Source organism: Homo sapiens, chromosome 15 (genome assembly GCF_000001405.40).
Source record: "Homo sapiens chromosome 15, GRCh38.p14 Primary Assembly".
Lineage (NCBI taxonomy): Eukaryota > Metazoa > Chordata > Mammalia > Primates > Hominidae > Homo > Homo sapiens.
Genome location: NC_000015.10, coordinates 65,194,536 through 65,218,078, shown reverse-complemented (window position 1 = coordinate 65,218,078; position 23,543 = coordinate 65,194,536). Strand labels below are relative to the sequence as shown.

General features: G+C 49.8%; 1 protein-coding gene across 2 annotated transcripts, besides 1 other annotated feature; it reads left to right on the top strand.

Moving 5' to 3' along the window:
* Nucleotides 5,076-5,977: an enhancer, noted in NCBI's record as "H3K27ac-H3K4me1 hESC enhancer chr15:65504440-65505341 (GRCh37/hg19 assembly coordinates)". NCBI's record gives its function as "activates a minimal SCP1, AML or CMV promoter by ChIP-STARR-seq in primed H9 embryonic stem cells {active_cell/tissue: H9 hESC(primed)}" and the evidence as "EXISTENCE:reporter gene assay evidence [ECO:0000049][PMID:30033119]".
* On the top strand, nt 6,606-23,319 carry CILP (cartilage intermediate layer protein). 2 transcript variants are annotated; one of them, NM_003613.4, is made up of 9 exons: nt 6,606-6,651; nt 8,218-8,384; nt 10,315-10,407; nt 11,028-11,297; nt 12,613-12,792; nt 13,497-13,811; nt 14,609-14,717; nt 16,050-16,207; nt 18,980-23,319. In NM_003613.4, exons 2-9 carry the CDS (start codon nt 8,324-8,326, stop codon nt 21,346-21,348), a joined length of 3,555 nt encoding a protein of 1,184 aa, NP_003604.4. In that variant the 5' UTR covers nt 6,606-6,651; nt 8,218-8,323; the 3' UTR covers nt 21,349-23,319. The 2 variants fall into 2 exon arrangements, with proteins under 2 accessions (NP_003604.4, XP_016878168.1); XM_017022679.2 differs by lacking the exons at nt 6,606-6,651; nt 8,218-8,384 and adding an exon at nt 8,791-9,029.

Sequence of the window (23,543 nt, the reverse complement as noted above, 5' to 3'; positions counted from 1 at the left end):
CTGACTGGGCTGAATCCATCATAGGAACACTGAGGTGACCCTGCTTTAAGCTTGAGAAGCATTCTGGGGTGACCACAGTGAGCGTGTTATGCAGAGGGTGGAGAGCTCTACTGAGCACGTTTTGGAGTATCTGCTGTGATCATAGCCCATTCTCTGGGAATCTTCTCCCACCTATGGCCGCTGAGTAAGCACATGCTTACAAGACTAGGTGCTGATCAGTACGCTGCAGTATTCACAGCAACCAGTGTGGCATGTGCAGTGCTGAAGGTTTCTTTCTTTTTCTCCTATTTCCTAAGTTGGAGTTGTTATTATGGTTGCTTGGTTTTGCTCAACTGTTCTGGAGTGTGTTGCTATGGTTACAAGATGGCAGGGGTTACATAGGTGGGTTTGGAACGGAACAAATGATGGGTAAACTCTGAGGTTGACAGCTATTAAAGTGGTTTTTTCATATCATGACTCTTAACCCTTTTTTTTTTTTTTGAGATGGAGTCTGGCTCTGTCACCCAGTCTGGAGTGCAGTGGCACAATCTCAGCCCACTGCAACCTCCGCCTCCTGGGTTCAAGTGATTCTCCTGCTTCAGCCTCCCAAATAGCTGGGATTATAGGTGCCCACCACCACGACTGGCTAATTAAGACTGTCTCAAAAAAAAAAAAAAAAAAAAAAAGGGCTGGGCGCAATGGCTCACACCTGTAATCCCAGCACTTTGGGAGGCCAAGGCGGGCAGATCACCTGAGGTCAGGAGTTCCAGACCAGCCTGACCAACATGTAGAAACCCCGTCTCTACTAAAAATACAAAATTAGCCAGGTGTGGTGGCGCATGCCTGTAATCCCAGCTACTCGGGAGACTGAGGCAGGAGAATTGTTTGAACCCGGGAGGCAGAGGTAGTCATGAGCTGAGATTGTGCCATTGCACTCCGGCCTGGGCAACAAGAGAGAAACTCCATCTCAAAAAAAAAAAAAAAAGTAGACCTTATCTTATTGGTTACAAGTAAGTCATGAGGCCAGCTCAGATTCAAGGGGAGGAAAATTAGATTCTATCTCCTGATGGTGGATTAGTGTAGTTACATTGTATGAGAACATAAGGAAGGGGAAATACCATTGCAGCCATCTTTGGAAAATACAGATTGCTACAGCCTCCTTGAGAATAAAGCCATCCAGAGGAAGCAATTGAGATATGGAAAAAGAAAAGTTCTAATGATGTTGTCTGAGTACCTAGATCCAACTTTTACCAAGATTTCCATCATCAGAACCATCAGATTCTTTTTCTGCTTAAACCATTTTGAGGCCGGGCGTGGTGAATCATGCCTGTAATCCCAGCATTTTGGGAGGCCAAGGCAGACGGATCACCTGAGGTCAGGAGTTCGAGACCAGCCTGGCCAACATGGCGAAACTGAGTCTCTACTAAAAATACAAAAATTAGCCAGGCGTGGTGGCACTCACCTATAATCCCAGCTACTTGGGAGGCTGAGGCAGGAAACTCACTTGAACCCTGGAGGTGGAGGTTGCAGTGAGCCAAGATCATGCTACTGCACTCCAGCCTGGGCAACAGAGTGAGACTCTGTCTCAAAAAAAAAAAAAAAAAAAAAAAAAAAATTTTGAGTTGTGCTTTATTACTTGCAACTGAAAGAGCTTTTACTCTTAGTGTATCAGTTATCTATTGCAGCATAACAAACCACTCCAAAGCTCTGTGGCTTAAAACAATGATTTATTATTTCTCATGATTCTGTGGGTTGGCTGTACAGAATCAAGGTCCAGACCATTCCTCTGTTGGTCTCATCTGGACTTTCTCAGGCAACTGCATGTGTGGAAAGTTCAAGATGGCCTCATTCACCTGTCTGGCCATTGGCTCAGGGTCTCAGTTCTTATCCATGTGGTCTCTCATCCTCCAGTAGGATAGACTGACTTCCTTAGATGGTAGACAATGTTCCAAGAGAGCGATGGTGGAAACTGTAAGCTCTCTTGAGGCCTAAACTCCAGAACTTATGCAACATCACTTCTGTTCTATTCCTTTATTCAAAGCAAGTCACAAAGTCAGTCCAGGTCAAAGGAATGAATAAATAGGCTCCACCTCATAATGGGAGAGTTGCAAAGAATGTGTGGCCATATTTAATCCACCACAATGTGGTAGATAGCTGGATTATGTTAGATGGGAACATCTTTGGAATTAGTATATATACAGGAAGCAGGGTGTGTATGCCAGGCAGGTGGGACAGACTGTTCTAGGCATGTGCCCACTGAGGAGCCTACAGTTGGGGTGTGACTTCCATGGTGGGTCCTCTGAGCTGAGGACCCTATGACAAGGTATACATTAGACCTCTGGTTCACAGGGGCAACTTGGAGCTGAAGACCTACCATAGCTGAGTGACTTCATGCCTCTTAGCCTCAGTTCATCCTCTGTAAAATGGGCATGCTGATCCCTGCCTCACAGATTGACTGTGAAACTGAAGATGAGATGATCACCACTAATGTGCCTTGTAAATGACAGAGTGTCATCTACATGTGACTGTGTATTATTATCTGAGATCTGAGGAAGAAGTACTCAAGATGGGCCTGGGTAGTTGCAGAGGGCAGGAAGGAGGACACTGAGACAGGGATTTGAAGAAGGACATTCACACTGGTGAGGGAGAAGGGCCGTATTTCAAGATGGGAAGCTGGAGAATAAAATTATAAAGGCACAGAGGTAGAACAATGACAGAGGGTACCCAGGAGAGGGAGGAGAGCAACTTGGTCAGAGGGTGAGCCCCCTCTACCACCCTGGACTCTGGGTTTCTGTGTTCCCAGGCAGTGGGGCAGCAGCCACTGATGGTCACTCAGAACTACAGCCAAGGCTTCCATTCTTCAAGGTTTATCAGCTGCTTATCCCCCCACAGGCCTCCAAGGCCTCCTCCAGCCACAGGGGTTGACGACAGAGGTGGTGGGCAGGTGGTCAGAGAGTCAGATAGAGCACCCTCCTCCTGAGCCACCAGGATCAGGTCAGACCCCTCCCAGTGTTCCCAAGCTCCTTTCCCCACTGCAGGGTGCAGGGTGTGGACCCCTGGCTATAGGCTTGGGTTACAGGTGGCCTAGCTAAGCTGGGTTCCAAGTCCCTTCATCCCCTGGGCAGGGATGGGGTGATTGATGGGTTTCCAGCATGTTCCAGGCAGAAGCTTGGAGTGGCTGCAGAGTAGCCTGGCTTGCAGAAGCCCCAGATGGCCACTCGTGGCTGAGGCTGACCCACCCAGGCCAGGCCTTGGACAGTCTAGACCTACGGCCACCTCCAAAGCCCTCTCTATTCTGGGGTCCTGGTTGAGGACAGCAATAGCTTCCCCCCCAAAGGAGTCCTGGGAAGAGAGAGTGAGGGCAGGCTCAGATTTCCCCAGTCTAGCCCTGTGCAGCTCACACAGCTCATTCCTACTTGGAGACAGGAAAGGACTCTGATGGGAGTATGGGAGGAGGCAAGATATGAGACAGGTGGACGGAAATGGCATGGTGGAATTGGAACGCAGCCCTCAACCCTGTACTTACCATATTAACACGCACTGGCCACTTGGGGCTAGGTAAGTGAGGGCCTCAGTGTGAGTGCTGGGCTGAATGAGGAGACCCAGGCAGGAATCCTGGCCTAAAACACTCCACTTTGCCCAATCCTCACCCATAGGGTACCCTGCCTCCCACTACAGAAAGAGATGGAGGTGACTGGGAGGCTGGGGAGGCGTCTCTTACCCACCCTGGCATTCCACAGAATGAAGGCCTTGGAGAGCAGCTGATTACCCTGACCTTGCCCTCTGGTTTACCTCCCACTACCTTCCTTTCCTGTGTATCTCTCTTGCTGTCCTTATCCAGCCTTGGTGGTCATATCTGCTTCTCTGGACTTCCTCCTGACCTTGACTCCACACTGGCTCCTCTGACTTCTGCCAGACACGTAGGAGCAGTCGTTCCCTCCACTCTCTCCTCCCAGCTCTGTTTGCTGTCAGTACAGATGGTCCCCAACTTAGGATGATTCAAGTTACAATTTTCCGACTTTATGATGTGCAAATGTGACACAAATTCAGTAGAAACTGTACTTTCCTGTACAACCATTGTGTTTTTCACTTTCAGTACAGTATTCAATGTATCACATGAGATAATCAATACTTTATGGTAAAATAGGCTTTTTGTTAGATGGTTTCGTACAACTGTAGGCTACTGTAGGCTAATGTAAGTGTTCTGAACATATTTAAGGTAGGCTAGGCTAAGTTCTGATGTTCAGTAGGTTAGGTGCATTAAGCGTATTTTTTTTACTTATGATATTTTCAACTTACAGTGGGTTTATTGGGACATTACTATAAGCCAAAGAGCATCTGTATATCTCAAACCTTGCAATCTCAGAGCTGGCAGGGGCCTGCAAACTCACTCAGTCCATCTCCCGTTGCACACCTGAGGCCCAGGGTTACTTGGGTTCTTGCTAGTTCACGGTCGCATATCAGAATCAGAAACAGCCAGGACTAGGCTTCTGAATTCCAAATTTCAATTTTTCTCCTGTCCTTTGATCTGGGGATTGTGGCTCAGCCTGTCTGTCTGTCTATTCCTTAGGCCATCAGATTTCACATGGGGTTCACTCAGTTCAGACGTCTGCAGTCAAAGCCATGGCTGAAACTGAGTCATGGCTTGGCTCTGACAAGTTGGACCAGACTAGGGCCAACTACAGGGCTTATGAACCAAGGGCTGGTGGCCAGGAGGGAGACGGGGCTCCAGGAGATAAAGCAAATCAGATCTATGCCCCAGGTCTACTTGGGAACCATGCTGCTCAACATCCTTTCTCCACCCCCACTCTCTTCCCCAGCAGATTTTTTTTTTTTTTTTTTTAGACCAAGTCTCACTCTGTCACCCAGGCTGGAGTGCAGTGGCACGATCTCAACTCACTGCATCCTCTGCCTCCTGGGTTCAAGCCACTCTCCTGCCTCAGTCTCCCAAGTAGCTGGGATTACAGGCACACTCCACCATGCCTGGCTAGTTTTTCTATTTTTAGTAGAGATGGGTTTCACTATGTTGACCAGGCTGGTCTTGAACTCCTGACCTCAAGTGATCCACCCGCCCCTGTCTCCCACAGTGTTGGGATTACAGGCGTGAGCCACTCCACCCAGCCTCCCAGTATATCTTGTCAAAGGCAATGCTCAGAAAAAACAGCTCTTACGCACACATACACACACACACACAGAAAGACACATACACACAGGAAAAGGCATAAACACACACACACAGAACTCTCTGGCATGTGGGTATGCACTGTTGTACTACGGGATCATTTCCACGTGAGGCTCTTTCCTCTGAGTGCAAGGATACATCTCTTTTCTTGTGCCTTCCCAGTGCCCAGTCTAGAGCCTGGGAATAAGAGCTCGGTAAAGGTATGTGGAGAGAGTGAGCTGACCCTGGCGTGGATGGCCACAGGACCAGGCCTCCATCTCCAGTTGCTGGCATGAGGCAGGAAGCCCAGCCCAGGCTAGATGAGCCTGCTACATGGGGCAGGACCTGGGAAGCTCCCACTGTGGTCCTTAGTACACTCGCTCTTCATCTTCTTCCTTCAACTGGGGCTCTATCACTGTGACCAGTCAATCTCAAAATGTGATCCATGAACCAACAGCATCAATCTCATCTGGGAACTTGTTAGAATGCAAAGTCTCAGGCCCCACTGAATCAGAAACTCTGGGTGTGGGGTCCAGAAATCTGCTTTAACCGCCCTCCAGGTGATTCTAACACATGCTAAAATTAGAGAACCAGTGTCTGTGCAAACAGATAACCTCATGCTGGGGCCAGGGGGCCGGGAGTGGGGGTGTGAAGCCCCAGAGCACATGCAGCTGCATACGCCCCCTATGGGTAACACTGGCTGTTCACATGCTGGTGGATGCCTATACCTGAAGGCAGACACGTACTCACACGCATGCACATATATGAGCATCAGGGTCTCAGAAGAGTCCACATGCTGGAGCTCTGGGGTCTCAGTGGGTACCAGCAGGCACTCAGATGGAAGTGGGGGGGAGAAAGGAAGAACTGTTCTCACCAGCTGACAACCTATGCCCCACAATTCTTTTGTCCCTTATCCCTTCTGAGGTTCCCTGAGTGTTCCCTCAGAAGCCAGAGAAGCTGAGTAGTTGCCCAACTCAGACCAGACACACCCAGCTGAGAGGCCAAGGTGGCCTGTGTGCCTAAGAGTGTTTGGAGTATGTGCTAAGACCAGCAAAGTCTTTTCTCTGTGTGGGCGAGCCAGGGCCAGGGGAATGTGGGGCATCAGCAAGCTAGGCTTAGGCAAGAGCACACCATCCCCCGGGCCATGAAATGCTGCCCAGATCTAGAATTCCCCGTGGCCCCTTCCCAGGGCTGTTTCTAGTGCCCAGCCCACCTCCTGACCCCTCTCTCTGCTCTGGACTGTGATGCCCCAGGCCACTGCCCACCTGGCCCATCACCAGGTCCTGCGGCATCTCCTCCTTAGGATCTGGACATAAAATCCTGGCCTCTGTGAACTGCAAGGGGACATGGGGAGGGGAGAGGGAGGCTCATGCTCAGATCTGGTTTCGCTGCTGCTTCCTCTGGCTGGCTGCCACAGGCTGAGCCACCAGCTGTGCTATATAAGGCCGGCACTGGACTGCTGGAGAGGCGAAGGCTTGGACCCCCAGCTGAGGAGTCCTGCTCAAGACACGGTGAGCTCCACTCCTATTCCCCTCACCCCATCCCTGCACCCCACTGCTGGACTCAACTGCTCCTGCCCTCCCCTGACTACTCCATTCCCTTCTCCCCACTTCCCCCCACTTTTTGCTGCCTGATCCTTCATCTCCCACAGAGAAGACTCCCTTTCTGCTTTGGGAATCTGCTTTCCCCCATTGGCCCAAAGTCCTCTCCCTCCCCCACCTGAGGACAGGAACCCCCAGATGGTCCCACTTAGGGTTTCCATACCTCTGGGTGCCCTGCTTTATTCCCTGCGGTCAGCCAGTCTGCTTTGTCCAAGTGTTCTGAGGAGCGTGGGATGGCAAGCCTAACCATCAGGGCATATGCTGAGGAAACGGCGGAGATGCTGAGAAACCTCTGTGGGCTGCCAGATGGGAAATGGTTTTTCCACAAGGTGTCTCAGGCCACCTCAGCCTCCAGACATCCCTGGAGCAGGCTCAGGCTCAGGCTGAATGCAGTGCAGGCCAGCAGACTGCTCAGCTCCCTGCTTGGAGCCCAGAGGGATACACACAATGTGGAGGCCTTTGGGACGTCCTGGTGACTCTGCTCCCTCATCCGAGAAACAGGTAGTGGTGGGGCCAGTGGTTTTAGAGCTAGAAGGTCTGCAGCATGGGACTGGTTTTTTCTTCCCCTGGAATATCCCAGTGTTTTCAGATATGTGTATTTTTTAGAGAGGAGGACTCTTCCCTTTCCTACCACACCCTGGACTTAGGATGTTGAAGGGAACCACTTTTGAATCCCCAGAAACGAGTCAGATTCTGGGTTGGCCGGAGCTCTGGGGAGACATAAAAATGTTCTGCTCAGCTGCGGCCTGGGCCACGCACGCCCCATAGTTCCTTGCCCTTGTCCCAGGCCTGCTTTCCTCTCCTGACCCTTGCAGTTCCTCACCCACGCTCAGCAGTTACTGGGGAGCCCTGGCCTCTCACAATGCATCCCCTCTGCTTTCCGTCAGCTGGCTCCTGGCTGTGTAACTCCCAGTCAGGCCCCAAACAAAAAGGCCAGAAATGTGTTCCAGCTGCAGCCCGTGCACATCTGGGAATGTGTTCATGGAGGTGGTATGTCCGAGGCATCTGCACCCTCCAGCCAGCCTGCCTTATGAGAGGCCACTGGAGTCGGAGCCAAGTCTTCACGGCCTTAATATGTACCCGCCTGTGTGAGAGTGTGAACTCCATCAAAGGATGGCAAAACAAATGCCCCTCAGGCCTGGGTTTTAGAAGTGACGAGTCACCAAGAGGCTGCTGGGGGTGAGCCCTGGACTCTCCTCATTGCAAGGAACCTCCTCGCCCCTGCTTGTCCTTGTGCCTCATCTCCATGTGGGGCCCTGGAGCCTACCCCCAGGGATGGAACCTAGTCTGCCTCATTTGAACTCAGATTCTGAGCCTCTGCACCTCCCAAGCTACCTGGTTTCACAACTCAGGCAGATATCACTTTCATATCATTCTGTCCACCTTTCCCTCCTTGACAGGTCAAGAAATATTTCTGCTTGAGCCATAAGCGGTGATTCAGAAATATGAAACCTGACAAGCTTTGTTTCTTTACAGGTCACTGGATCTGAGAAACTTCCCAGGGGACCGCATTCCAGAGTCAGTGACTCTGTGAAGCACCCACATCTACCTCTTGCCACGTTCCCACGGGCTTGGGGGAAAGATGGTGGGGACCAAGGCCTGGGTGTTCTCCTTCCTGGTCCTGGAAGTCACATCTGTGTTGGGTATAGGCTAAGTATCTGCTGGCTCCCAAATCTTCCACTTGCCACAGTGAGGTTGTGTCTGGTCTGGGACTGAACTATGCATCTGCCTTAAGACACAGCAAGGCCTTAAGACCTGAGGCCACTTTATGGATTTATTCGTAATTTATACCCTGTTTGTTTTTCTCCAAAACTTGAGATTGTTCCCATTATTAAAACTCACAAAACAGAACCTTTATATGAGAAGAGGGATGAGCAGTCATTCAGAGGGAGGAAAAAAAGATAAGAGGGTTATTTTTAGCCCTTGAGTACCAAATTGAGCTCCGAGCTTCCTGGCAGCCAAAGTAATAGGGAATCACAGGGCATCAGTGAGATCTCAGAAGCAGGTTTGGGGTTTGGTCTGTTTTTAGTTTTATGAAGATTCTTTTGGCCCAAAGCTCAATTTCATTTAGACCCTGCAGCCAAATTTCACAGACACACCAGAACCCCTTCCGGTCTCCTTGCCCTCTGACTGCATCCTCTGGTGATACTGAGCTCTGGAAGGAACTCGTAGAAAGAATTTGTCTGGTGGAACAGAAGACTTCCCAAGGCATCTAAGCGTCAGCCCTCCCCTGCACACTCTCTCCCACCTCCTCCCCTTCCTCTCCTGATTTCTAAGCACATACTCAGGTAAAGCAAAAGCAAAAAAAAAAAAAAAAAAAAAAAAGCTCAAAACCCTCCTTTAAAGCTGTATGCCTTGCAGGATTTGTGGCTACAAATGCAGGAACAAAGGCTGTCTCAGCCTGGAGCCAACCCCTGTATGTGCCTGCCTCCTGCCTTGCTCTTTCCACCCTGACAGCTGCTGCTTGTGAAGATGATTAACATTCAACCATCTGAGGGGAAATCAGATTAGGTTGATTAAAAGAGCTCCTATCACCCCAATTAAGCAGCATAGAGAATTCTGATTTGGCTCCTGGAGTAAGCGTTAATTGCCTGTCAAAGCTTCTGCAGCCCTCTGCTCCGCATTCTCCTTCCCATTCTGGAGACCCCAACCCAGCCTCAGGTAGGGTACAGCTGGAACTGCTTGTGGCCCGAGGACCCTGTACCCATCCTCAGGCAGTCCCTGCCAGCCTCGTATGGAAAATTGAGGACCGCTGCCCCAATTAGGCCATAGGAGTCTTTATGGGAGAGTGGACTCCCAAGGGAAAGTAAATGGCCATCTATTCTGGCGTTGAGCTAAAAGAAGTTGCTAGCACTTATTCAGTATGCGTTATGTGCTAGGTGTTGTTCTAAGTGGATTTTATGAATGAGCTTATTTAATCCCCACAATACTCTAAGGCAGGAACTATCATTATCCTTATTTTATGATGAAAGAACATGGGGTCAGCTGGGTTAAGTAACTTGCCCAAAGTCACACAGTTAGAAACTGGCAGAGTCTCAGGAGCCCACACTGTCAATCTGCATATACTTCAGAGGCTTTTACGTTCTAGCTCATGGAATCCTCATGCCAACTGAATCACCCTGCGAGATGGGAATAAATATCTCCATTTTACACATGAGGAAAACAAAGCTCCATTTTGCCAAGAAGGTTTGGTGCAGACACCAAAGCAGGAGTCCCAGGCCACTGGCTGCTCAGGAGCATCTGATAATCCATTTCTAGAACAAGAGTGAAAAGGGAGATACCATTCACTGAGTGTGCACTACAAGCCAGGTCTCTTTACATTCATTATCACCTGAATAATGCACCAGGACCCTAGGATGCAGCAATTATTAGTGCATTCCTATTTTATGGGGAAACAGGCTCAGAGGAGTAAAGCTTTTCTGAGATTGCACAGCAATAAGTAGCAGAGTGGGGTTTGAACCCATGCCTGGTGCTCATGCTCCATTCACCACCTCACACTGTTTCCCTGCATCTTGAGGAATGCTGTAACTTCCAGTCCTGGCCTCTCACTTAGCTTCTCCTTCTGGCCCTCAGGGAGACAGACGATGCTCACCCAGTCAGTAAGAAGAGTCCAGCCTGGGAAGAAGAACCCCAGCATCTTTGCCAAGCCTGCCGACACCCTGGAGAGTGAGTTGTGGCTGAAGCAGGGAGGGGCTGGAGGGGCAGCCTTTAACGAGCTTCCGAAGTGGATCTCTGAAGCCAGGGCATGATGTCAGGGTCCCATGGAAACCCACTTTTACAAGCATTTGGCCTCCATCTCTGTCCAGCCAAGGAACTTAGTATATAAGACAGCTCAGAATCAGGAATCTGCCTGATACCTTTCAGGAATGCTGTGGAGCTTGCTGGGGCCAGAGCACAGGCTGGTGGGAAGGGAGTGGGGAGATGAGTATGGAGAGATGGCTGGGGACAGCTCACCAGCACCCTGAATGCCTAGCTAGACGATCTTAAAGCTGGAGGTGATGTGGCCCGAGCCACATGAAGAAAGCTCACCCTGACTGCAGGGTCAGGGATGGGTGTGAGTGGCATTGAGGAGGAGCCTTGATGTGGAAAGTGACTGACATGGTTCAGTCAGGCTGATGAGAGCTTGAATGGAGGCCTCAGCAGTGGCAGGTGTAAGAGGGGATTGGAGAGATACTGGAGAGACAAATGTGATAGGGCCTGAGGCCAGCTGGGGGTGGGTGAGAGGGAAAGGAGAACTGGAGCGCACCAGGATCACGGCTCCTCCGCAATTTGGCTATGTCTCTCAGGCCCTGGTGAGTGGACAACATGGTTCAACATCGACTACCCAGGCGGGAAGGGCGACTATGAGCGGCTGGACGCCATTCGCTTCTACTATGGGGACCGTGTATGTGCCCGTCCCCTGCGGCTAGAGGCTCGGACCACTGACTGGACACCTGCGGGCAGCACTGGCCAGGTGGTCCATGGTAGTCCCCGTGAGGGTTTCTGGTGCCTCAACAGGGAGCAGCGGCCTGGCCAGAACTGCTCTAATTACACCGTACGCTTCCTCTGCCCACCAGGTAAGCCAGAACGCCCCCACCCCCACCCGCTACTTCCCACTGGCCTCTACTCAGGGAGAGGGAGAACCTGCCTCTGGCCACCAGAACTCTCAGCATCACACACATGCGTATGCTTGGACTCTGTAATAATAACAAGTAGTGACACACATGCATATGCTTGGACTCTGTAATAATAACAAGTAGTGTCATTAATGCCAGAACTTTTCCAATAGTGTTTTGTGTTTATGGGTACTCTCTATTCAACCTATTTTATTATGTTTGAGTGGTACCATGGTGAAGACCACAGGCTCTGAAGTGGGGCTGCTTGGGTTTGAATTCTGAGCCCGCAATATGATGTGTCCCCTAGACAAATTTTCTGAAATTCTCTTAGTTTCAGGTTTCTCATATGTGACACCTGGGTAATAGTAAGTCTTCATAGGGGTTTTTAATGAGGATTAAATGATATGAATGCAGAGGCTTAACCCAGGTAAATGCTCACTGAGTGTTAGTTTCTATTCTTGTTCCTATGTGCCAGATACTGTGCTAGTTATCCACTTTATTCAACCTTTACAACTGACCTTTGAGAGATCTCCATCTTGACAAGTTACACGAGGTTCAGAGAAGCTAGGTAACTTCTCACGATTCCATAGCTGATAAGGCAGAGCTGGGGTTTGAACCATGTCCGTGTTTGCAGAGTCTATGCATTTATATCCCCTCCCACCATGGATAATACAGATGTTATGGGGAGCAGGCCTGCTCCCTTCTTGGATGGGGATCTTCTCCCTTAGGGTTCCACAAGATCCCCCAGGCCCAGACGCCAGTGGTGGTCATCTGGGATGGGAGCTCAGGCTGATCTGAGCAAGGTGTGAAGACCCCATTCTTGTACACAGGCCTCAGGCCAGAGGTGAGGAAGGTGGGCAGAAATGGGCTTCTTGTCCAAGTCATTGCATGTTGCAGGCCCCGACTTCCCAGGGGTCCCTGATTCCCAGGGAGTCCTTCCATAGGAGCATGTGGCCGTTTCCACACTGGTGAAGAAGAAAGACAGTGCTATCCCTGCACATCCTAGGACAGCATATCAAAGTCCCAGTGCTTGGCCAACAAGCACCGCTCAGGGCCACCCCTAGCCCATATGGTGCCTCTGTGCAAATTAGAGACCTCACTTCCTCAAGAATTTTGTCTGTTGGAAAAATCACTGCAGTAAATATAAATATCAGTGACATCTACGACATAAATGGAAACCTTGTCTTTACCAGAGAAGAAACAGCCTCAGGGTCAGATTTCCTGACAGAGTTCCCTCAAGAGGGAAATCAGACCGTCTGCTGATCTCACTTTGCAGGATCCCTGCGCCGAGACACAGAGCGCATCTGGAGCCCATGGTCTCCCTGGAGCAAGTGCTCAGCTGCCTGTGGTCAGACTGGGGTCCAGACTCGCACACGCATTTGCTTGGCAGAGATGGTGTCGCTGTGCAGTGAGGCCAGCGAAGAGGGTCAGCACTGCATGGGCCAGGACTGTACAGGTACCACCCTCCCTCCTGGCACTGGGCAGGGTGTGGTGGGTGAGGCTGAAGAATGAGGAGGGAGTTAGAGGGTCAGTTTGAGACTGATGGATTCCTTCATTTACTTACTCACCACGTATTAACTGAGCATCTACTATGTGCCCTAATGAGAGATATACAGGATAATATAGGAACACAGGGCAGGGTCAATTATCATAGCCTGGGGGAATCCAGGAGAGCTTCCTAGAGGAGGTGTTTTGGGCTAAGTTGTTGTTGTTGTTGTTGTTTTGAGACAGAGTCTTGCTCCATTGCCCAGGCTGGAGTGCAATGGCGCAATCTTGGCTTACTCCAGCCTCCGCCTCCTGGGTTTAAGGGATTCTACTATCTCAGCCTCCCTAGTAGCTGGGATTACAGGTGCGTGTCACCATGCCCAGCTAATTTTTGTATTTTTTGTAGAGACAAGGTTTCACCATGTTGGCCAGGCTGGTCTCAAACTCCTGACCTCAGGTGATACACCCACCTTGGCCTCCCAAAGTCCTGGGATTACAGGTGTGAGCCACCACGCCTGGCCTTGGGATAAGTTTTAAAGGATGAGTGGGAGTTAGTCATGCAGGCTGATAAGGGAGGGTAGCAAAGGCCAAGGAGGAGAGGAAGTGATCTGTGATGTGGCTGAAGGAATGCCAGAATCCATAGAATCCCTGCTGATATGGCCCCTTGTTCCACAGCCTGTGACCTGACCTGCCCAATGGGCCAGGTGAATGCTGACTGTGATGCCTGCATGTGCCAGGACTTCATGCTTCATGGGGCTGTCTCCCTTCCCGGAGGTGCCCCAGCCTCAGGGGCTGCTATCTACCTCCTGACCAAGACGCCGAAGCTGCTGACCCAGACAGACAGTGATGGGAGATTCCGAATCCCTGGCTTGTGCCCTGATGGCAAAAGCATCCTGAAGATCACAAAGGTCAAGTTTGCCCCCATTGTACTCACAATGCCCAAGACTAGCCTGAAGGCAGCCACCATCAAGGCAGAGTTTGTGAGGGCAGGTAACTAAATTCTTTGGGGTAGGGCTGGTGAGAAGGTCCAGATTTTTAAATAAAGGGATTATAGTGCTAAAAGCTGGCTTCCCAGCTAACTTGGAGTAAAACCCCGAATCCTTACCATGGCCCACATGGCACTATATTATCTGGCCCTCCATTTCTTCTCTGCTCTCCTCTCCTGTTACTCGCTCTACACCAAATCACTCTACTCCAACTGCAATGGGCTCCTATCTGTTCCTCAAACACACAGGCACATTCCTGCCTCAGGGCCTTCGTGCTTGCTGCATGTATTCTGTTTAGAATGTTCTTCCCATAGATATTGGCGTGGCTTGCTCCCTCAAATGTATGAGGTCTTCCCTGGCCACCTTATCTAACGGTCAATACAATATAGTGTGCGGTTTGCAGGTCACAGAGAGAAAGGCTTGGGAAGTTCAGAAATGGTGCAGGATGGCCAGAAAATTCTGCCAGGGGCAGCAGAACATGAATATTGCACTATTTAAAACAGTCAGTTCTGTCCCAAAGGTAGTGCTTGGAATCTTGGCTGACACAAGGTCCCCTTGTTTCACCACTGACCCACCCAGATGCTGCTTGACAGGCCATGGGAGAGGTCCCAGGATTGGGGGTGTGGAAGGATAGACTCCACTCTGAACCAATTCCCTTAGGACCAATGGAGATGGGCTGGGGGTAGGGGTGAAGCCTTATAATTTTCACAACATCAAAGACCCTGAGGGAGCTAGGCTCTGTAGAACCTGTCACACACACACACAAAAACCCAAAATGCTATTTCTCATTTTCTGTCCCAGAGACTCCATACATGGTGATGAACCCTGAGACAAAAGCACGGAGAGCTGGGCAGAGCGTGTCTCTGTGCTGTAAGGCCACAGGGAAGCCCAGGCCAGACAAGTATTTTTGGTGCGTATTCTGCTAGCTACCCTGCCCAATTCTCCTCCTGGAAACCAGAGCTTCTTGCATTGGGTCTGGACTTATTAATAAGAACAATAACCAACAGAATAAAGTTACAAGTAAGACAGTGGTACAGAGCCCGGATGTTGGGACTTACAAATGGGAGCCATGGGGTTGGGAGCCAGACAACCAGCAAGCTCTCTCATTGTACCCTCAAAGCTGGGGGAACCCTTTGGCCGGGCACAGTAGCTCACGCCTGTAATCCCAGCACTTCGGGAGGCTGTGGCAGGTGGATTGCTTGAGCCCAGGAGCTCGAGACCAGCCTGGACAACATAGTAAAGCCCTGTCTCTATAAAAAATGCAAAAAATTAGCCAGGTTTGCAGGCTTGTGTTTCTAGTACCAGCTACTCGGCAGGATGAGGTAGGAGGATCGCTTGAGTCCAGGAGGCGGAGGTTGCAGTGAGCTGTGATCACACCACTGCACTCCAGCCTGAGTGACAGTGTGTGATCTTGTCTCAAAAAAAAAAAAAAAAAAAGCTGTGGTCCCCTGGAGCATCTCTGGTCTTGGGGTCCAGACTTGTATATCATCAGGACACAGAACAAAGTTCCTAGGTCCTGCTTTTCCCAATAAAAGCAAACAAGGGGCCAGGCATGGTGTCTCATGCCTGTAATTCCAGCACTTTGGGAGGCCGAGGAGGGTGGGTCACTTGAGGTCAGGAGTTCGAGACCAGTCTGGCCAACATGGTGAAACCCCATATCTACTAAAAATACAAAAATTAGCTGGGCGTGGTGGTGCATGCCTGTAATCCCAGCTACTCGAGAGGCTAAGGCAGGAGAATCGCTTGAACCTGGGAGACGGAGGTTGCAGTGAGTCAAGATCATGCCACTGTACTCTAGCCTAGGCGACAGAGCAAGACTCCATCTCAGGAAAAAAAAAAAATGCAAACAAGGGCAGAATCCCTTATGGCTGTGAGTCCTTTATCCTTCACAAACATTTTATAGCCACTTTCTTATTTGACCCATCCAACAGTCCTGTGAAGTCAGCTAGAAGTCATTGCTGACATTTTATAGACCAGAAAGCTGAAGTACAGATTGGTGAGATGGGGTGGGGGAGGTTGTCCAAGCATCCCCAGCCAGGTACGTGGTAGGGCTGGGACTTAGAACCAAGCTCCTTGTTTCCCAGGCCAATTAGTGCTCTTGGATGAGCCAAGTCAAAGGTGATATTGACATTTGTGGGAACCCATTCATCATCTGTCTCCTTGGCTGCCTGCTCCTGGCACTTTTCTAGGAATACCTGCCCTCCCACTGCCCATTCAGGTTCTACCTCTCCATCCCTTGCAGGTATCATAATGACACATTGCTGGATCCTTCCCTCTACAAGCATGAGAGCAAGCTGGTGCTGAGGAAACTGCAGCAGCACCAGGCTGGGGAGTACTTTTGCAAGGCCCAGAGTGATGCTGGGGCTGTGAAGTCCAAGGTTGCCCAGCTGATTGTCATAGGTAAGCCTGTCTGGGTCCCTGGGGCCCCTGGGTCTGCAACAGGGTTGGCTGAGCACCCAGGTGGGCATAACTATGCAGTAATAGCTAAGGCTTTTCTTTTTTCTTTTCTTTTCTTTCTTTCTTTTTTTTTTTTTTTTTTTTTTGAGATGGAGTCTCGCTGTGTCACCCAGGCTGGAGTGCAGTGGCACCATCTCAGCTCACTTCAACCTCTGCCTCCCAGGTTCAAGTGATTCTCCTGCCTCAGCCTCCTGAATAGCTGGGATTACAGGCGTGCACCACCACATCTGGCTAATTTTTATATTTTTAGTAGAGATGGTGTTTCGCCATGTTGGCCAGGCTGGTCTTGAACTCCTGACCCCCACCACCTCTTTCGTCCTCCCAAAGTGCTGGGATTACATGCATGAACCACCGTGCCTGGCCAAGCTCAGGCTTTTCTGTACTGTGCACAGTGCCAGGACCTCTAGGACATAACGATGGTACAGATCTGAATCCTACCACCATGGAGCCATCATTTGAGGAGGAGTGAAGACATGTAAATAAGCGACAAACAAGATAGAAAAATGCAGCTAAGGCCAGGTGTGGCGGCTCACACCTGTAATCCCAGCACTTTGGGAGGCCAAGGTGGATGGATCACCTCAGGTTTGGAGTTCGAGACCAGCCTGGACAACATGGTGAAACCCTGTGTCTACTAAAAATACAAAAATTAGCCAGGCATGGTGGCGTGCGCCTGTAATCCCAGCTACTCAGGAGGCTGAGGTAGTAGAATCGCTTGAACTCAGGAGGCAGAGGTTGCAGTGAGCCGAGTTCACGCCACTGCACTCCAGCCTGGGAAACAGAGCAAGACTCTGTCTCAAAAAAAAAAGAAGAAGAAGAAAAGAAAAATGCAGCTAAAATAGGAGACAAGGGGCTGTGGACTCTAATAGATGGTAGATACCTCCCAGGTGGGAGTGACCATGGATGGCTACTTGAGGGAGCAGCTTTCCAGCTGGGGCTTAAGTAATGGTTCTCAGCTTTGGCTGCCCATTGGTATGACCTGACTGGGTTTGAAAAAATACTGATGCCTCAGTCTTACCTCCAGAGAGTCTGACTTAATTGGTCTGAGATGTGGCCTGGGCATGCATAGTTTAAAACCTCCCCATGTGATTCCAATTTGCAACCAAGGTTAGAACCCCTGGTCTTAAAGAATGGGCAGGGATTGTGTATGTGGAGGTGAGGGTGTTCCAGATTGAGGGGCCAGCATGGGTAAAGATATAGAAGTGGGAACTGAGGGGGCTTTACAAGAAAGGGTGATCTAGAGCTGGCTTCAAGAACAGAACTGGATGGGGAGAGATTAGAGGCCAAAGACCAATCAGGGGCCTGTCTTTGGAAAATGAGTAGGAAGGAAGATAGCTTGGTAATTGGCCTAAACAAAACAAAACGCAGAGAAGGACAGAATGTATTGGAAGGATCCTGGACTACTTTAGACTCTTAAAAAGTTGAGCAACAGACCTCAGGGCAGACAAGACACACAGTACTCTGGACATTGGCAGAGATATGGAGCCCTCAGCAGTGGTCCCAACCCATCACACCAAGGCTCCCTCTTTGCTACAGGAATTTTTAATACTACTTTATTATTCTGAAGTTACATTTATAGATAACTACCTATAATTTCCAAATGTATATGTGCATGGTCCTAACTATAAAACAAAGGATAAATTTTTTAAATTTTAATACAAAATAGTGTGTATTCCCATATCTAAATGCTTTGGCACATTGACACGAGAAGACAAACCAAGAAGTTAACTACTTGCATTTAAATCCAGGGTCACCATAAACATGACCGCTACAAGTGCTGATGGATACAGAGGTATCATTCTGGCATTCACAGTCCTTGGGTAATGGTGTTGTAGAAACGTGATTTTCCTGAGACGAGGAACAATTCTTGGTATTGTTCTGAGCTAAACAAAGTATAATCTTAGCTCAATTTATATGGTAGTTGCATTCTTGAAAAATTCAGTATATGGTTAAAGCCATGTAAAAGATACTAGGCTCTGATCTTTTAATTTGTTTTAGACAGGGTCTTGCTCTGTCGCCCAGGCTGGAGGGTAGTGGCACACTCACGGCTAACTGCAGCATTGACTTTCCAGGCTCAAGCAATCCTCCCACCTCAGCCTCCTGAGTAGCTGGGACTACAGGCGTGTGCCACCATGCCCAGCTGATTTTTGTATTTTTTGTAGAGACAGGGTTTCATCATGTTGCCCTGGCTGGTCTCGAACTCCTAGGCTCAAGCAACCCACCCACCTTGGCCTCCCAAATTGTTGGGATAACAGGTGTGAGCCACTGCATCCGGCCAAAGCTCTGATCACTTTAAACAGGTTTTCTACCTACATGAATGAGTGGTGGGATATGTGAAAGTTGTTCAGAACACAGAGATTCTTTATGCAGAACAGTGCCAGGCATTGCAGGACATAGAACATCAATGGCCCCTACCCACAATATGCCAGTAGCATCCCCAATTTTGGAGATAACCCAAAACACCTTCATAAATTTTCAAGACCCCTCCATTGAGACAAACCGCCACTGTAGTGGTCCCATCAACCAACTCTGTTTCCCGGTATATAAAATGGGATCAGTAATAGCTGTTCTATCCTCTCAGAGAGTTCTGTGAGAATGAGAATCATGGATATACAAGTCCTTTGAAAACCATAGAATACTGTAGAGAGGTGAGGTTGAGGTACTCTTTGTGTAGGATGTAAACTTACATCTTAATTTCCACACCATTTCCCTACACAGCATCTGATGAGACTCCTTGCAACCCAGTTCCTGAGAGCTATCTTATCCGGCTGCCCCATGATTGCTTTCAGAATGCCACCAACTCCTTCTACTATGACGTGGGACGCTGCCCTGTTAAGACTTGTGCAGGGCAGCAGGATAATGGGATCAGGTGCCGTGATGCTGTGCAGAACTGCTGTGGCATCTCCAAGACAGAGGAAAGGGAGATCCAGTGCAGTGGCTACACGCTACCCACCAAGGTGGCCAAGGAGTGCAGCTGCCAGCGGTGTACGGAAACTCGGAGCATCGTGCGGGGCCGTGTCAGTGCTGCTGACAATGGGGAGCCCATGCGCTTTGGCCATGTGTACATGGGGAACAGCCGTGTAAGCATGACTGGCTACAAGGGCACTTTCACCCTCCATGTCCCCCAGGACACTGAGAGGCTGGTGCTCACATTTGTGGACAGGCTGCAGAAGTTTGTCAACACCACCAAAGTGCTACCTTTCAACAAGAAGGGGAGTGCCGTGTTCCATGAAATCAAGATGCTTCGTCGGAAAAAGCCCATCACTTTGGAAGCCATGGAGACCAACATCATCCCCCTGGGGGAAGTGGTTGGTGAAGACCCCATGGCTGAACTGGAGATTCCATCCAGGAGTTTCTACAGGCAGAATGGGGAGCCCTACATAGGAAAAGTGAAGGCCAGTGTGACCTTCCTGGATCCCCGGAATATTTCCACAGCCACAGCTGCCCAGACTGACCTGAACTTCATCAATGACGAAGGAGACACTTTCCCCCTTCGGACGTATGGCATGTTCTCTGTGGACTTCAGAGATGAGGTCACCTCAGAGCCACTTAATGCTGGCAAAGTGAAGGTCCACCTTGACTCGACCCAGGTCAAGATGCCAGAGCACATATCCACAGTGAAACTCTGGTCACTCAATCCAGACACAGGGCTGTGGGAGGAGGAAGGTGATTTCAAATTTGAAAATCAAAGGAGGAACAAAAGAGAAGACAGAACCTTCCTGGTGGGCAACCTGGAGATTCGTGAGAGGAGGCTCTTTAACCTGGATGTTCCTGAAAGCAGGCGGTGCTTTGTTAAGGTGAGGGCCTACCGGAGTGAGAGGTTCTTGCCTAGTGAGCAGATCCAGGGGGTTGTGATCTCCGTGATTAACCTGGAGCCTAGAACTGGCTTCTTGTCCAACCCTAGGGCCTGGGGCCGCTTTGACAGTGTCATCACAGGCCCCAACGGGGCCTGTGTGCCTGCCTTCTGTGATGACCAGTCCCCTGATGCCTACTCTGCCTATGTCTTGGCAAGCCTGGCTGGGGAGGAACTGCAAGCAGTGGAGTCTTCTCCTAAATTCAACCCAAATGCAATTGGCGTCCCTCAGCCCTATCTCAACAAGCTCAACTACCGTCGGACGGACCATGAGGATCCACGGGTTAAAAAGACAGCTTTCCAGATTAGCATGGCCAAGCCAAGGCCCAACTCAGCTGAGGAGAGCAATGGGCCCATCTATGCCTTTGAGAACCTCCGGGCATGTGAAGAGGCACCACCCAGTGCAGCCCACTTCCGGTTCTACCAGATTGAGGGGGATCGATATGACTACAACACAGTCCCCTTCAACGAAGATGACCCTATGAGCTGGACTGAAGACTATCTGGCATGGTGGCCAAAGCCGATGGAATTCAGGGCCTGCTATATCAAGGTGAAGATTGTGGGGCCACTGGAAGTGAATGTGCGATCCCGCAACATGGGGGGCACTCATCGGCAGACAGTGGGGAAGCTGTATGGAATCCGAGATGTGAGGAGCACTCGGGACAGGGACCAGCCCAATGTCTCAGCTGCCTGTCTGGAGTTCAAGTGCAGTGGGATGCTCTATGATCAGGACCGTGTGGACCGCACCCTGGTGAAGGTCATCCCCCAGGGCAGCTGCCGTCGAGCCAGTGTGAACCCCATGCTGCATGAGTACCTGGTCAACCACTTGCCACTTGCAGTCAACAACGACACCAGTGAGTACACCATGCTGGCACCCTTGGACCCACTGGGCCACAACTATGGCATCTACACTGTCACTGACCAGGACCCTCGCACGGCCAAGGAGATCGCGCTCGGCCGGTGCTTTGATGGCACATCCGATGGCTCCTCCAGAATCATGAAGAGCAATGTGGGAGTAGCCCTCACCTTCAACTGTGTAGAGAGGCAAGTAGGCCGCCAGAGTGCCTTCCAGTACCTCCAAAGCACCCCAGCCCAGTCCCCTGCTGCAGGCACTGTCCAAGGAAGAGTGCCCTCGAGGAGGCAGCAGCGAGCGAGCAGGGGTGGCCAGCGCCAGGGTGGAGTGGTGGCCTCTCTGAGATTTCCTAGAGTTGCTCAACAGCCCCTGATCAACTAAGTTTTGTGGTACTTCACCCTCTTCTGCCCTCATTTCATGTGACAGCCATTGTGAGACTGATGCACAAACTGTCACTTGGTTAATTTAAGCACTTCTGTTTTCGTGAATTTGCTTGTTTGTTTCTTCATGCCTTTACTTACTTTGTCCCATGCTACTGATTGGCACGTGGCCCCCACAATGGCACAATAAAGCCCCTTTGTGAAACTGTTCTTTAAATGAAACACAAGAAATTGGCCACTGGTAAAACTCTGCAGCTTCAACTGTACTTCATTTAATGCCATTAATGCAAATATACTTCCTCTTCTTTTTGCATGGTTTTGCCCACCTCTGCAATAGTGATAATCTGATGCTGAAGATCAAATAACCAATATAAAGCATATTTCTTGGCCTTGCTCCACAGGACATAGGCAAGCCTTGATCATAGTTCATACATATAAATGGTGGTGAAATAAAGAAATAAAACACAATACTTTTACTTGAAATGTAAATAACTTATTTATTTCTTTGCTAAATTTGGAATTCTAGTGCACATTCAAAGTTAAGCTATTAAATATAGGGTGATCATAGTTCCTCTACCAAGTCTGGAAAGAACATCTCCTGGTATCCACAATTACACCAGGTTGCTAACTGTATTTGTACATTTCCCTTTGCATTCGCTTCTGTTCTTGCTAGAAACCCAGTGTAGCCCAGGGCAGATGTCAATAAATGCATACTCTGTATTTCGATTCTGAGGCCACTGTCCTGTCTTAACTATTAAAGTGAGCCAGCTTCTCAGAGGAGTACAGGGGACTCTGGAAAGCAGTCACAGGTGGTGTAAGTCCTCGCCCCCTAAGTTACAGGGCAGGGCAACATAGGCACACACTCCAGCAGTCAAATTTGTTCTCATGGATCACATTTTCCGTTTGCAGAAAAGAGCAGATTCCTGGAGTTGTGAGCATGTTCTGGGCTCCTGAGCAAGACTAAAAACACGTCCCGATTTTTTTCTTTCCTTCTTTCCAATACTTTGGAGCTTATACAATGGCTTGGCCCAGGGTCTGACAAGCTGGCCAAGTGGTCCTTTGGCTCTCCCAACAGCCTGTTGCCTTCTCCAGCTGGGCTGGCCGGCCTCACTCAGAAATGGGCTTTTACTTTTTTCTTTATGCTCTTCTAAAGATGTTCAACTTTTCCAGACACCAGATCTCTGTTGTGTGTTACAGACCCTGTCCCTGGAGCAAAACAATTGGTCCAAACGGGCAGAGTTTTGGTTTTGGAAAAGGTATTTGGTTTAAAATAGTAAATCAGAGGCCCATAGGTGGTGCCAGAGCGATCTCAGCGGCATTACAGTCAGGGTAGTGGGGTGTGGGGTTGGATAGGATGCACTCACTGCCCCTATCCCAACCCCTCCAGAATCTGTCAGGCAAGAGTCCAAAGGGTTTGGGAGAAGAGAGGACACTGTTTACAATCAGGACAAAAAGCTTTCCCTGATGCCCTGGCCAGCCTAGTGCAGCTCCTTTACCCATCTCTGGCCTGGGCTGGATTTGTACTCTTGGATCACCATCTGCCCGGCTCCTGGGAATTTGGTTTGTAAGCAATTAGAAATTTCTCTAGCTGAGCACATCACAATAACCATAGAAAAAGCAAGCATCTGCAGGAGTGAGGACTAGTGGTCTTGTGATTGCAACTTGACCCACTTCCAGACTCCACATCTGTCCCACTGCTCCCAGGAAGCAGCTCTCACTGACTGCTTGGGGAGGCTTGACTGCCCCTGTTGTGAGTGCACAGCTATCTGCAGCACCATCGCCCCAGCCACTTCAGGAGCCAGAGTGCCTGCTGCTTCAACCTGACCACCAGTTCACTTCAAACTCACGGGGGGAGGGGGAGGGTCGGGGGGGGGTGGGTTGCTGGGGAAGGTGGGCTGACTGGTTCCCCACTCTAGGGCACTTTCCTTGCTGTTCTCAATTGAGGGCCTGAATAAATGGACTCCAGCACACAGCATCTGATGCCTGACTTTTTCCTTCACTCGCCAAACATTTATTGAGTGCCAAACCATGTATGCAAGTAGACAAGCTTTTATGAGATAGTACAAAACATACTACATGTCATGGCATCAGACTTTGAGGAAGTAGTGGTCAAAGAAGTCTTCTTAGAAAAGGTGACATCTAATTTGAGGTCTGAATGATAGCTAGGAGGTGGCCTGCTAATGGTATGGCTGTCAG